Source organism: Homo sapiens, chromosome X (genome assembly GCF_000001405.40).
Source record: "Homo sapiens chromosome X, GRCh38.p14 Primary Assembly".
In the NCBI taxonomy this organism is placed as follows: domain Eukaryota; kingdom Metazoa; phylum Chordata; class Mammalia; order Primates; family Hominidae; genus Homo; species Homo sapiens.
Genome location: NC_000023.11, coordinates 8,789,840 through 8,804,312, shown reverse-complemented (window position 1 = coordinate 8,804,312; position 14,473 = coordinate 8,789,840). Strand labels below are relative to the sequence as shown.

Sequence of the window (14,473 nt, the reverse complement as noted above, 5' to 3'; positions counted from 1 at the left end):
GGCAGACGGGGAGAGAAGTGCATATGTTGTCATCTGACGCTCTGCTGCCTCCATAGCCCATGTTAGCAATTAGCATGGTGTAGATTAAGTACAACTACACAATAGTCATCAATTCCCAATGTTATCGATACATTAGAAAGGGGCTCTGATTTCCAATTAAGTACTGAATAATTGAAAGAAAAATGTGTTGTTGCAGGTTGTTGAGAAACACCTCTACCTCCATTTACCCTTTCATTAAGAAACAGGGATAAAAAATATTGCGATATCAGGATATCTAGAATTTGGAAGATGTGGAATCATCCTGATGAGTCCAAGGACAATCCAGAAAATCAGCTGTGATTCAGACTCCGGTGTGCCCCGTGGAGGCCATGGGTCATCCAGGAGCCTTGTATACCTGGAGGATGAGGAGCCACCTGGGGGGAATTCATTCTAAGGTAAAAAAATGTCATCCTGGCATAGTGACTTCGACCCAGTTCAAAAGCCCGCGTTGTTGAAGAGGAGCCGAATTCTAGGCATGGTGTGTTTACAGTGAGTGCTGTGTTTCCCAGATTTTCCATCCACAAGGATCTGAACTTTTTAGGAAGAGAGAGAGAGAGAGAGAGAGAGAGAACTCAGAATAACAGCTGAATGAGCCACTCTTTGAGAGTGCAGTAGTAGGTTAGCTCAGCAGGTCTGTGTTGTCCAAACCCTGCACTTTCCAAAGAAAGGTCTGTTCTTTGACAGCCTTCCAGGGGATAACCTCTAAACCCTTGGAATATCCTGCCTGATCATAACGTGTTTGTTTACCTGGAGCTTTGAGTCATGCTAGACAGTTAATGCTGATGATTTATAGTGGGGGCTTTGGGCCACCTGTATCAGTCTTGACCTCTGGAGGGGCTGGTGACTAATTTCGGTCATGCAGACAGTCGGCCATGCCTACATGCTCCCAAAACCACACTGGATGTCAGGCTTGGGGGAGCTCCCTGGGCAGCAATGTTCTGTGCAGGTTTCCTCACATCACTGCTGGGAGAATTAAACATCATTTGGTTCCATTTCCCAGCTGCTGAAAAACTGTAATGTTGGGAAGAAATTAATAATTCAGCTTAAATCCAAAGGAAGAATGTTGATTGTGTAGATTTTGTAGAATTTTTTTTAAAATGTTGAGGGAAGAAGGGAAGACCAACTATGTAGAAAAGGGAGCCTTTATTATGAACACACAACTCTTTAAAACAAGTGAAGTAATACCCATGTAGAATAAAAGCAAAGAAAAAAGAAACAATTCAGATAATCATCACATAAGAACACTTATATGTTTTATTTTATCTTATTTTATTTATTTTATTTTATTTTGAGACAGAGTCTCCTTGTGTCACCCAGGCTGGAGGGCCATGGTGCGATCTTGGCTCACTGCAACCTCCGCCTCCTGGGTTCAAACGATTCTCGCGCCTCAGCCACCCAAGTATCTGGGATTACAGGCGTGGTGCCACCCAGTTTTTTTTGTAATTTTGGTAGAGACGGGGTTTCACCATGTTGGCCAGGGTGGTCTCGAACTCCTGGCCTCCAGTGATCTGCCCGTCTCAGCCTCCCAAGGTGCTGAGATTACAGGCATGAGCCACTGCACCCAGCCACTTACATGAAACATCTGACTGCATTGCTGAATTCAAAATATCTGAATATGTTATACAGAAAAATGTTTTGGAAATCTAATGAAAATTAATAACGAAATACAATGTTCTACTTACAGTCATTGTTGACTTATCTTAATAATTTGTTTGTTTTGTAATGTGACAAAATAGATCTATATTGTTCATCTTGTCAAAAATATTTATGTGCAGAACTGTATTTTAAAACAAGCAAGTACAAAAGGAAATAAATTAAAGTACACGAATATTTTATTACCTCTCAAAATAGCCTGACTTGAAAAGACCATCACTCCATGGCCAATGGATCTACTTGATCCTGAAATAACCGAGAGTGGGGTGTATCTGTTACTATCAGCAGGTCAACCTTACAGCAACAAGAAGAAAGGCCTTTGACAACCTGATGGTCACTCCTGGGATTTCTATGGCTAACTTAAGTGGCAAGAACTAGCAGGAAACTAGTTGACTTTTTTTGAAGAAAGAAATGACAAAAGTTTCTCAATCAGTACCTTTTAGTCATCATTTCTTGGAAACAACTATACATCATACAGTTGATGCCTTTAAAGACACGACTTTGGGTATGGGCTCAGTGGCTCATGCCTGTAATCCCAGCACTTTGGGAGGCTGAGGCAGGTGGATCACTTTGATGTCAGGACTTCGAGACCAGCCTGGCCAACATGACGAAACCCCGTCTCTACTAAAAATACAAAAATTAGCCGAGAATGGTGGCACGCACCTGTAATCCCAGCTCCTTGGGAGGCTGAGGTGGGAGAATCGCTTGAACCCGAGAGGTGGAGGTTGCAGTGAGCCAAGATCTTGCCACTGCACTCCAGCCTGGGCGACAGAGAGAGACTCCGTCTCCAAAACAAACAAACAAGCAAGCAAAAAACATAAAAGCACAATCCATTGATAAAAAGGGTGCAGCTGGACATGGTGGAAACACACAGGGCATGGGAGGGAGCCTGGGCTCCACCTGCAAGGCGAAGGCCATTCTAGCCAAAGGGGCAGGGGTGGCTGGAAGGAGCTCGGGGGCGAGGTCCTAGGCCCCGTCCACTTGGCTTCCATCCCGAGTCCTTGCATCCCTCCCCAGGAGGAGGCGCTGAAAACTTCTGGGGACAGAGGCCCCAAAGAACCACCACCCACCCCAGTCCACAGCAAATATGGGTGGTCCCTTACGGAAAGAGGGAAGGCGTGTCAGCAGGGGTCGTGGCCCCCAAGGTCCTTCACCCGCATGCGCATGCGCACTTAGCTGACCAATCAGAGAGGAGCGTGGATAGCCAGGGCAGCTGCTCTCGCGAGAACTGAGGACCCATTTTTCTAAGAGAGCGTCGTGGTGCCAGTGCCTGCAGGTTCTGTGAGGAAGCGGCATCAGGGGTCCCTCAGGTGAAGCGCTCGCGGTGGGGAGGCAGGAAGTCGAGCATGCGGCCCTCTCGCAACCAGGGTGTGAAGCGCAGGTGAAGCGCTCGCGGTAGGGAGGCAGGAAGTCGAGCATGCTGCCCTCTCGCAACCAGGGTGTGAAGCGCTGAGCGGCCGGCTGACCTGCACACGGGCAGCCCGAGACCCCTGGCCCCTTCTTGGCTTTGGAGTCCACCATGCACGTGCTAAGAGGCCCCAGGTTTTCAAAGCAGGAAATGGCCCTGGCATCGTTGCCTGGGGCCTGGGTCAGGGCGAGGCCCTGAGGGTGGGCTGGGATGGGCCAGGGCAGGGAGGGAGCTGGAGACACCTGAGTGATCCCCAGGGCCCAGGAGTGTCCCCGGGACTTGTGCATGTGTGCAGTGGGTAGGGGTGGGGCAGGGGAGGGGGGCTTGGGGGAATGGAGGGGGTGGAGAGGGGAGCAAGGGAGGGGTGGTGGCAGAGGGTGGAGGGTCGGGGAAGTGGCAGACAGGCAGGGGCCGGGTGTGGGGCCAGGGATGGGGGCAGGGGAGGGGAGGGGTGTGGGGTTCGTGGGGTGAGGGGATGGGGGAAGGGGAGGAGGAGGGGCGGAGTGTGTGGGGAGGCGACAAGCAGGGGTGTTGTGGGGGACAGTTCGAGTGGGTCCCTCCAGCCCGGCCGCCCGTCAGGACAGGACACTTGGGGTCACGAGGGGTCACCTGGGCATCCAGGCAGGCAAGTGGCAGTGCAGCCCCTGACATTCCCCCAGAGATGGCTGGGGAGGTCCTGTGACACCCGTGGTCCTCCGGGCCACGCAGGTCTCTGGGGCACACAGGGGCAGGGCTGAACTCTGTCCCAGGGACACCGCAAGGATCCTGCAGGGGCCATTCAGGTGTGCGAGGCAGCTGTGAGTTCTGCAGCCAGCCCCAGGGACGGGCTGGACGGGCCACGAAGGATAGGAGGGGACACTGGCATCTTCTCCGACCCCTCCTGCTCCCACAGGATACACGGGGTGGGCCAGCCCCACCCTTTCTTGAATCCGAGATCCCGTTGGCTCTCCTTTCACATATCCTGTTTCCTTAGCTTACTTAGTTTGACTTTGCACTCAACCAGGTTCAGGGATCGCCTCTAACTTCCCAGGACAGCCAACCATGGAGCCCGTGGGCAGGAAGCGCAGCAGGAAGGCTGCCAAAGCTCAGTTGGAAGCTCAAGTTACGGCCGCCCAGGGGGCCACGAAAGAAGGTGCACGCCCAAGGAGATGGTCTGTTTGCTCTCTGCGCGGGGGGCACATGGGCAGCCCGAGACCCCTGGCCCCTTTGTGGCTTTGGAGTCCACCATGCACGTGCTAAGAGGCCCCAGGTTTTCAAAGCAGGAAATGGCCCTGGCATCGTTGCCTGGGGCCTGGGTCAGGGCGAGGCCCTGAGGGTGGGCTGGGATGGGCCAGGGCAGGGAGGGAGCTGGAGACACCTGAGTGATCCCCAGGGCCCGGGATTGTCCCGGGGACTTGTGGATGTGTGCAGTGGGGAGGGGTGGGGCAGGGGAGGGGGGCTTGGGGGAATGGAGGTGGTGGAGAGGGGAGCAAGGGAGGGGTGGTGGCAGAGGGGGGAGGGTCGGGGGAGTGGCAGATAGGCAGGGGCCGGGTGTGGGGCCAGGGATGGGGGCAGGGGAGGGGAGGGGTGTGGGGTTCGTGGGGTGAGGGGATGGGGGAAGGGGAGGAGGAGGGGCGGAGTGTGTGGGGAGGCGACAAGCAGGGGTGTTGTGGGGGACAGTTCGAGTGGGTCCCTCCAGCCCGGCCGCCGGTCAGGACAGGACACCTGGGGTCACGAGGGGTCACCTGGGCATCCAGGCAGGCAAGTGGCAGTGCAGCCCCTGACATTCTCCCAGAGATGGCTGGGGAGGTCCTGTGGCACCCGTGGTCCTCCGGGCCACGCAGGTCTCTGGGGCACACAGGGGCAGGGCTGAGCTCTGTCCCAGGGACACCGCAAGGATCCTGCAGGGGCCATTCAGGTGTGCGAGGCAGCTGTGAGTTCTGCAGCCAGCCCCAGGGAGGGGCTGGACGGGCCAGGAAGGATAGGAGGGGACACTGGCATCTTCTCCATCCCCTCCTGCTCCCACAGGATACACGGGGTGGGCCAGCCCCACCCTTTCTTGAATCCGAGATCCCGTTGGCTCTCCTTTCACATATCCTGTTTCCTTAGCTTACTTAGTTTGACTTTGCACTCAACCAGGTTCAGGGATCGCCTCTAACTTCCCAGGACAGCCAACCATGGAGCCCGTGGGCAGGAAGCGCAGCAGGAAGGCTGCCAAAGCTCAGTTGGAAGCTCAAGTTAGGGCCGCCCCGGCGAAGAAGCACACAGGTAAACACAGCCCAAGGGGCCAGAAAAGAAGGTGCACGCCCAAGAGGACGGTCTGTCTGCTCTTTGCGCGGGAGGCACATGGGCAGCCCGAGACCCCTGGCCCCTTCGTGGCTTTGGAGTCCATTGTGCATGTGCCAAGAGGCCCCAGGTTTTCAAAGCAGGATCGAGGGCCTTAGGCTTCCCGTGGGAGGCTCCCCCTCATAGCAGGGTTACAGATGCTCGCAGAGCAGCTCTTCTCCATGGATGCGGTCCTGACATCCAAGGGGTCTGACTTGTGAGCGTTGTTTACTAGGACTTGAACCGGAAGGGCTTCCAAAAATGCCTCGGTAAAACGGTCCGGAGCCCAGTGATTCCATGCATAGCTCTGCTTTAAAGCTTTAATTGGTAGAGAGCCAAAAAAGTCCACAAATAATAAGTTTCTCTACAAAAGATGTCCACAACAGCGTCTTCCTCTAAAAATGGTTTGTCTTTTACATTTTAATGCAGGAAAGGATCCAGTCCGTGATGAATGTGAGGAAAGAAACCCTTTTACAGAAACAAGGGAGGAAGATGTAACTGATGAGCATGGGGAAAGAGAACCTTTTGCTGAAAAAGATGAACACACGGGGTAAAGTGTTTAAGTCACTTTTGCCTGTCGGATAGGGTCTTTTAGGAAAAGTCAGCTTTGGTTCATGTCATCACTATTCTATTCTATGCGGAACATTTCACATAAGACATATCTTCCCAACAAACATGGCATTTTGTGTAGCATTATGATAAAATTTTGATGTAACTTTTTTTACAGGATTCATACCATGAAGCTAGAACATATTGCAGGTATGTTTTAGGAGCTATTCGTAGTCTTTGAAAATTATTTTCAACCATACAACTGTTATAGTAGGTTATATGAATTAGTGGACGACGAGACTGTCTTAACATGCCTTCTTCTCATATATAGCATTTAACATATGTATTTAATGTAATGCGTTTAATAAATTTTCATACTTACCTTTTGGATTGTTGATGTGGAATGTGAGAATGCTTCTAACAATGGTGAAGTGAGAGGGATGGCTTTTCTTTCATACACATGGAAATTTAATTATTTGGGGGATATTAGAGGACACTGGAGGAGAAACAGCTCTATTGGTTCCTTTTAGTGTACACAGATTAAGTATATATATCAGGTTTTTTTATCTTTTATTTTAGGTTTGAGGGTACATGTGCAGGTTTGTTATATAGATAATTGCGTGTCACAGGGGTTTGGTATACAGATTATTTATCACCCAGGTTATAAGCATAGCACCTGATGGGTGGTTTTCATCCTCACCCTCCTCCTACCCTCCAACCTCAAGTAGGCCCAGGTGTCTTTTGTTCCCCTCTTCCTGTCCGTATGTACTCAAGAGTTTTTAATATGAGTTTTTATGTTCCTAATTTAGCTATTCTATTGTCACAGCTTTCTGATTTTGTTTTCTTTAAAGTACAAGAGAAAATTGAATTATCTAAAATGATGATATTCTATTATTATTCCAGTAATAAACTGTGTACTAGAAAAGGAAAGACAAGTTTTCTACCCAGTGAGAAACATGTAATTGGATCCAAAAACTCATAAATTTTGTATTGCCATGTGAACTGTTAGTTGCACTGACTGTTATAGGACCATATTTTCAAAAAAAAATTGAGAAAATTTCTGTAGAGACGGCGGAGACAATACTCTTATTTTTAAAACGCTCAATTCAGTTTTCAGCTCTTCTCTAGCGATAATTCATACAAGCAGTATATTTGGAAAGCTTTGCTCTGCTTGGTGAGTAAGTGCTGGTTTTGTGAGCTACCTAACTGAGCATTATAGATGGAGAATGTAAAAAATATTTGTATTATGGTGCAGATCTTTTATGATTGCTGAAAACTATTTTTAGCAATTGATGGTAGATCTCTGATGTGAAACCATGTTTAGGAAAGCATTCCTTGCAGTAGGACAGTTTTCTGAAACACAGCACTGTGGATAAAAATGTCATATAAAAAGCTCCAAGAAAATATTTCAAAAGTGTTTTTGAATGTATTTCTTTACTTAAGCCTAAATTTTTATACCCATGGACGATGCTTCTTTTATTAAAATACAGTTAATAGCATCAATCACCAGATTGCTTAAAAAATGCTCTTCTTATTGTGTACTAAGTTATTTCTACCCTTTTGATGGTCTTATTAAATAAGATACTTTTCTGTATGTTTTACATAATGAATTGTGACAGTATTTCATGGAAACATGTCCTTTGAATTACAGGACATTTTATAAATGTAGAAATTAGAGTCTGTGTTTGTAACGCTTTCTGCACATTTAAAAAATCGAAAATTACTTGCTTTTTTTCATCATCCATAAATTAAGTGATTTGCAGTTATACCAATTGGAATTAGAGTACTAATATTAATACGTAAAAGGTTTTACAGAAAACAAGTGAGTAAATCTTGCTTTTTGAAATGATCTTTGTATTTTACAATGTAAATGTCCTTCCGATATTGCTGAACCATCATATCTCACGTTGATTTCAATATATGCGAAGAAACCACTTTTCAACATTAACTTTTAATGCATTTTCATTTACTATCTAGCTGACATTAAAAAGGGCCTTGCTGCAAAAAGAGAAATGATAAAAATAGATAAAGCAGCTTACAGGAAAACCAAGAACACAATTGAACGTGCTTTGAAAAAAAAACAACTAAAAAGGTATGATTGTTGGCTTTTTTGCATAATGATATTTATATCATTTCTTTGTATTTGTTGGTGCAAATAATTTCAAAAACTGTCCTGTACATATTGGCGTCTCTAGGGAGCAACATATTTTACTTGATTGTTCCCTAAGCAGGTAAGTTTCTTTTGTTTTATAACCTCAGTTTAACAGAATTGAGGCATATTATCTAGAAAGCCAATGAAGATGACCTCTTTTTGCCTTCCAGATAAAAATAGTCTTCCTGTAAAATTAATTTTTATCCATTTCTAGAAATATGGCAGCTGCATATAAGATAAATGTCTTCAACGTTTAGTCTGTAGATCCTTAACAATATTAAGTTATGTGGAAAGGGACAACCTTATGTTGTAAATATGTTATCTATTTTAGTTAAATTGTTTTCACTATTCCTTTTAGAAAATCATTGTTGTGCCAAAGTGGAGAAAGAGTTAAGTGAAGTATTTCTTTTGGGAAATCTTACAGGATGAATGGCTATGATATTCTTGAACCTACTTATGAGAACCCATATGTTATTTAGTTTGAGGAAATGAAAAGTAAACTGCTGTTAGAGAAAATTATTGTTTCTGGGAAATTTATAGTGCAGTAAACTCTCCTTTGTTTTCAGCACATAAAGAATGTAAGATAGCTGCTCTAGTAGTCAGTTAGGAAGGGATCCTTTCAGAATGACAGTAACTCATTTCACCTTTTCCCAAAAAGAAGATTTCAGCTGCTATTACTCCCTTGCTACTTTATAGTATAAATTATGTGAAGTCAGTTTTGGTTTGAATAGGATTAATTTTTCATCTCTCTATGACATATGACCGTATTACTTATTATGTGTTACAGGCAGAAACGTGATTATAGACATACTCGGAAGTTGCTGAATGTCCTTAAAGAATACATCGCAGAGAAGCAGAAAGATGATGAAGCAGAAGAAGCAGAAGCCGCAGCAGCAGCAGCAGAAGCCGCAGCAGCAGCAGAAGCCGCAGCAGCAGCAGCAGAAGTAATAGTAGTAGAAGACGAAGAGGAGGAAGAGAAGGAGGAGGAGGAGGAGAAAGAAGAGGAGGAAGAAGAAGGAGAAGAAGAAGGAGGAGGAGAAGAAGGAGAAGAAGGAGGAGGAGGAGGAGAAGGAGAAGAAACAGAAGAAGAGGAAGAGGAAGAAGAAGAAGAGGAAGAGGAAGAACAAATTGTTGGTATCAGGCTTAGCTTTATGATTAACCTATTGTATCAATGTCTCAGGTAGTAATAGTTCATGCAGAAATCCAGCAAAGAAGGAAGAGAGCATGAGCCCAGAGAGGGGGGCCCATAAGTGGACTCATGTACTAGGGGAATATAATTGCCACGCAGCATTAGGGGTCCAACTGAGGTCAGCATCATAGCGATAAAGAAGTTAAAGTGAGCCCGGTTGGCATATTTGTGCAAAAGCAGCTGTAGGGTTGGAATTTCCTGGGTTGGGGTGTAGCTGCGCACGTTGATAGAAGGAGAGTTGGGCAGGGCATAGATGCAGGGATGGGGATATGATGACTGGCTGTGGAATTTCAGCTGGGACTGAGTTACCTGAGCACATGGGGGTGGGCAATGGGCAGTGAAAAGTGTTCCATTCAGTGGGTGTCGGGTCTCAACAGACTCCTGAGCTGTAGTACTGAAGTGAGTGACCTACAGTGGCAGGAAGGTAGTGGCTGTATGTTGGGAAGATGGAGAAACAGCTGAGTGCAGTGGTCAAGGGCTGGGACACTGCAGCCCCACTGCTTGTAATTCAACTCCAGCTTGACGATTGCTAGCTCGGGAACCATGGGCAAATTATTTATCTCTGTGCCGAAATTTCCTTATCTGCAAAAGGAGACACGGTAAGAGAACTTATGTCAGAGTTATTTGGAGGATTGAAAGGTTCCTGTGTAATGGGTTTATTTAAATTTTTCAGGATGTGATCTGACCCATGATTGCTCTTTATCATTGCTATTATTAATATTATGTAGATGTTGCAGTCATTGGGAATGATAAAATCTAGGGGATGACTGTATAAGTGAGTGCCACGTAGAGGAGAGGAGAACACTGTTGTTGGAGATTAGGTCAAGGTGCAGAAAGGCAATCATTATTGGAAGGTTCATCCGTGTGCATACTGAAATGACCAAGATTTATTACCTGTTTAAAATCTTAGTAAGAAAGAATGTTTCTTAGTTAATTTCTGTATATATCTTACCCATCTGTGGTCAACAAATTATAGGAAGGGTCGTCAAATACTCTACATTCAAAATCAAGAATTAAGACATATGTGTTGATTATGTATGTAGAAGAAAGAAAATTCCTTAATCACTGATGAAAAAGGTTATTATATCATTTTAGCATATGGGTGGTGAACACAGTTGTTTAAAATTGGTCATAAACATTGTTTAAAAGAAAGTGTTAAGAAGTATAGATTTAAAGAGTATTCCTATAAAGCTAATGCAGAATTATGTTTTGTAAGTATTAAAAATTACCCAATTTTCATCACTATTTTTTTGTGCTTCTAGAAAGCATTTCAAGAAAAACAGAAGAGGTGGCAACAACCTACAGGTGTTAGGAGCTGGAGGCTGAGAGAGATGAAGCCGCTACTTGAGCAATTACTAAAGGTCTGTTCTATTTGGTAACATAATACATTATAAAATACAACACGTGCATAACAGAAGAAAGTCTGTTTGTTTCCGAATGTATGGAAAGACATTTTGGTTATGCATTTTAAATTACTTACCATTTTCACTTTGAATGTATTGTTCCAAATTTAACATAACTGGTAAATGTATTTTTAGGATTCGTGAATAGTTTTGTGGGAGTTATTTAGAACAGGAAAAGGTAAATTGGAAATTTTACCTGGAAATATACATCTTGTGTATATTGTTAACGCATTGACACATTTATGCCGGAGGCTGCACATTTTTTGTGTGTGAAGAAACAGACCTTGGCTATGTTCTTGAGCGGTAGGAGATACATGATTCCCACAAGCTTAGCGTTCCAATAATGGAACACTAGGCATAAATGGGTTTTAATGAAGATTTTATTTTCAGTTTTCAGGACATCAATGACACATCTATGGTGGAAGGCAGGAAGACCATAAATCCTTTCTGGATGTCTTTTTTACTTGTGTTGTTTCAAGAGTTTTAGTTAAATAGGAAGTAGGCAAGTGTAACTACTGAGTGTCTCTTTTATTTCCTGCTGTAATACAGGAGTGTTTTATGGCATATTCACTTTCAAAATTATCAGCGACTAGTAATGGTTTTACATGACAATTTGTAGTCATAAGAGATGGTTCAGATGTATAACAGAATGGGAAAGCCAGCAAATTATTAACACGTTGTGAATTGTGAATTATCTGCTGTCGTATAGCACATTAGCAAATTGTCATCAATGACCTCTTCTTCATGTAGATGTACATTATTTAGGTAACAATGGAATTCCCTTCTGGGAGGTAAGGTATTCTTTTTAATAACCTTGTGAAAAGACATGTTCATATGTCACTCCTCTACACTAACTGAGATGTGTTAAATAAACTGAGAAAAGAGTTTGAAAATAAAATTTTCAAGCAACTTGAGAATGATCTATACACAAAACAGTTATTTAAATAGAAGTCACAAGTAGAGAAAATGTTGCTATAATGTTCACCAGAAACCATTTATTAATTGGTATGAACATGAGACTAGAAGTTTTCCTGTCAATGTTAATGCTACATGTTACCACTTAGGGTAGGAACTTTGCTATCATCTTGGACTCTTCTAAGTCCCTTATCCTTCCCATGCAGTTATCATGAGGCAAGTTTTACCTCTGTAATGGCCCTTAAATTTCTTTTTTTAAAATTCCCACCGCAGCTGCCCTAGTTCAAGACCTCATTCTTCCTTGCTTGTACTATTAAACTCTTTTCTGAGTTCTCTCTTCTCTTCTGAGCCATCCTTCATTGATCGGCAATATTATCTTCCTAAAACCCTCCCCTTCCTAAAATGCTTCCTAGCCCTTCCCTCTTCCCAGCCTGTCAGTGATGCCCCGTCTCAGTTCTTAGATATTCAGAGACTCTCCCCTTTACATGACCCCCTCTTAGGCTTGCCGCCCTCTGTCTTTGCTCCTGCCTATCCAGGTTGACAGCTTTCCCTGAAGGAATTCACTGTTACTCTTATGCTTTTCTCATGCTCTTCCCTCACAATGCTTTAAAAAAATTTTTTTTTGACTAAGACCAATTTAAACCTTTTGCCAACTAAGTCAACATACGTCTCCATTTTTGGCTACATGTCTGAGTGAGTTGCCCTTCCATAGCAGTTATACAATTTTTGTATTAATTTTTTTTATTTGTGCATTTGCTCATGTCACAGGATTATGGAAGAGATTGTGCTTACATTTTTTACATCTTCCTTAGCATTAACATACACCATTTTCAGGAGTAGGAACTGTTGAACTATTTGTTGAGGGAATAGTATATATTTCAAACATAGTTACATTTTTCTCTAACTTGATGAGGTCATATCACCAACCATTTTATCCCTTCAATGGAAACCACTTTCCGTAGACTATTGCTGATAATACATGGGTCACTACCTGCTGAAAAAATATATTTCATGGTAAGCCTGCCTGACTTTTTCTGTCTTTGCTCCATCTTGACCTTAAGATGCTCATCAACCCATTTTATTCAAGCAAAGTACATGACAATTGGACCTGCTAAAATAATATTTCACTGAAATCTGGCATTAAAAAATTTAAGTGGGTATTTGGAGCTCCATGTATTGGTTACAGTTTTTTTCAAATTGAAATAAATAACCAGCATCCTTTGAATATTAAAAGCTGTTTCCTTTTGACATCTGATTAACCCTGTTTAAAACGTGAGATGTAAAGTGGTGGTTTGTCAGTGAACTAGACTTTTTCTTTTAGGCTGCCAAGGACACTAAAGACAATTATTGCATCATTTCTTCCAGTGAAGAAAGTGAACTTGATAACTAGCCGTGTTTTTAAAAAGAATCGTGTCAGAACTGTAAGTAGTGCATATTTAAGTTTAAAAACTCAGGATTGATGTAAGCACTGGAATATTTTATTTGCAGAAATGTGTATCACAGTTACTTAAATTTTTTTTTGAAACAGCTTTTGGAAGAGTTGGCACTTCATTGTCTCTTCAACCTCTGTTATTCTGATGACTGAAGAAAGAACTTGAACCTATGTTATATGATACGAGCACAACTTGAGCTACAGTAAACTACATGACAGTGTTTTGATAATTGTTGTATAAATCGGTATAGCTCCTCTGTCACTTGTCTGTTAAATGCCAGACCTCGTTTCTATGATCTGTTGAATGAATCCTAGACACTTCTGTGAGAAGGCAGGGATTGCACAGTTATGTACATGGTCAATTAAATTTTAACATTAAAGATAATTTAGATTTCAGTTCACCTCTGTGGATCTGTATCAGTTTCAAAAACGTAGAAAGCACGGGCATAGAAAAGTACATTTTTCTCTAATAAAAGAAGACACCAAGCCTGCCCGGTGCGGTGGCTCATGCCTGTAATTCCAGCACTTTGGGAGGCCGAGGCGGGTGGATCACTTGAGGTCAGGAGTTTGAGACCAGCCTGGCCAACATGGTGAAACCCCATCTTTACTAAAAATACAAAAATTAGCCAGGCATGGTGGCACGCACCTGTAGTCCCAGCTACTCAGGGGGCTGAGGCAGGAGAATCACTTGAACCCGGGAGTCGGAGGTTGCAGTGAGCCAAGATTGTGCCACTGCACTCCAGCCTGGGCGACAAGAGCAAGACTCTGTCTCAGAAAACAAGAAGACAATGACAAAAGCTATCCTATCTATGCATTCTTTTGTATTTACTCATTAGGATAAAGAGGCAATTCCAATGAAAGTAGGACTTCAAAAAATAGATATACTCTATGGCCATATCAAAATTATTAAAAATACCTTAACATCTGTGTTCTTGAAAAAATTAAACTACTATAAATAATTAAGGCAACTGAGCAAGATACATTAATATCAGTGCTGAGCCACTGGTTTGTGGGTATGTCATTTCCACAGACATCAAAATGACATTTAGTTTGTTTTGGTCCATCATTCAATGATACCTCCCCTTAGCATTGATTGAAAATATTTTGTTAACATTTATGTATGCTTACAATTATTTCACATCTGTGGCAAGTTAAATTATGTAGAGTGCTTTGTTTTTCCAGTTTAATATTCACGGATTATGTGGAAGTTTAAGTATACCTGCATCTAAAAACTTGAATGATGAATTCACCTACCTTTCCTTTTTTTAATGTTAATGTTTTCACATGTAACAACATATAACAACATGTAACAACATGTTTAAAAATATATTTTTGCATGTAAAAACATGTTAAAAAGATGTACACGTTTTTACATGTAAAAGGAATTTTACATGTAACAGCATGTAAAAAAATGTTCATTTGGAAACTA

At 43.2% G+C, this 14,473-nt stretch overlaps 1 protein-coding gene across 2 annotated transcripts; it reads left to right on the top strand.

The window, feature by feature from the left end:
- Nucleotides 2,930-13,518, top strand: FAM9A (family with sequence similarity 9 member A). Of its 2 annotated transcripts, none has more exons than NM_174951.3 (10): nt 2,930-3,002; nt 4,104-4,232; nt 5,219-5,347; nt 5,834-5,954; nt 6,132-6,163; nt 7,931-8,045; nt 8,893-9,235; nt 10,557-10,655; nt 12,934-13,033; nt 13,141-13,518. In NM_174951.3, exons 2-9 carry the CDS (start codon nt 4,142-4,144, stop codon nt 13,000-13,002), a joined length of 999 nt encoding a protein of 332 aa, NP_777611.1. In that variant the 5' UTR covers nt 2,930-3,002; nt 4,104-4,141; the 3' UTR covers nt 13,003-13,033; nt 13,141-13,518. The 2 variants fall into 2 exon arrangements, with proteins under 2 accessions (NP_777611.1, NP_001164657.1); NM_001171186.1 differs by having other exon boundaries at nt 2,976-3,073.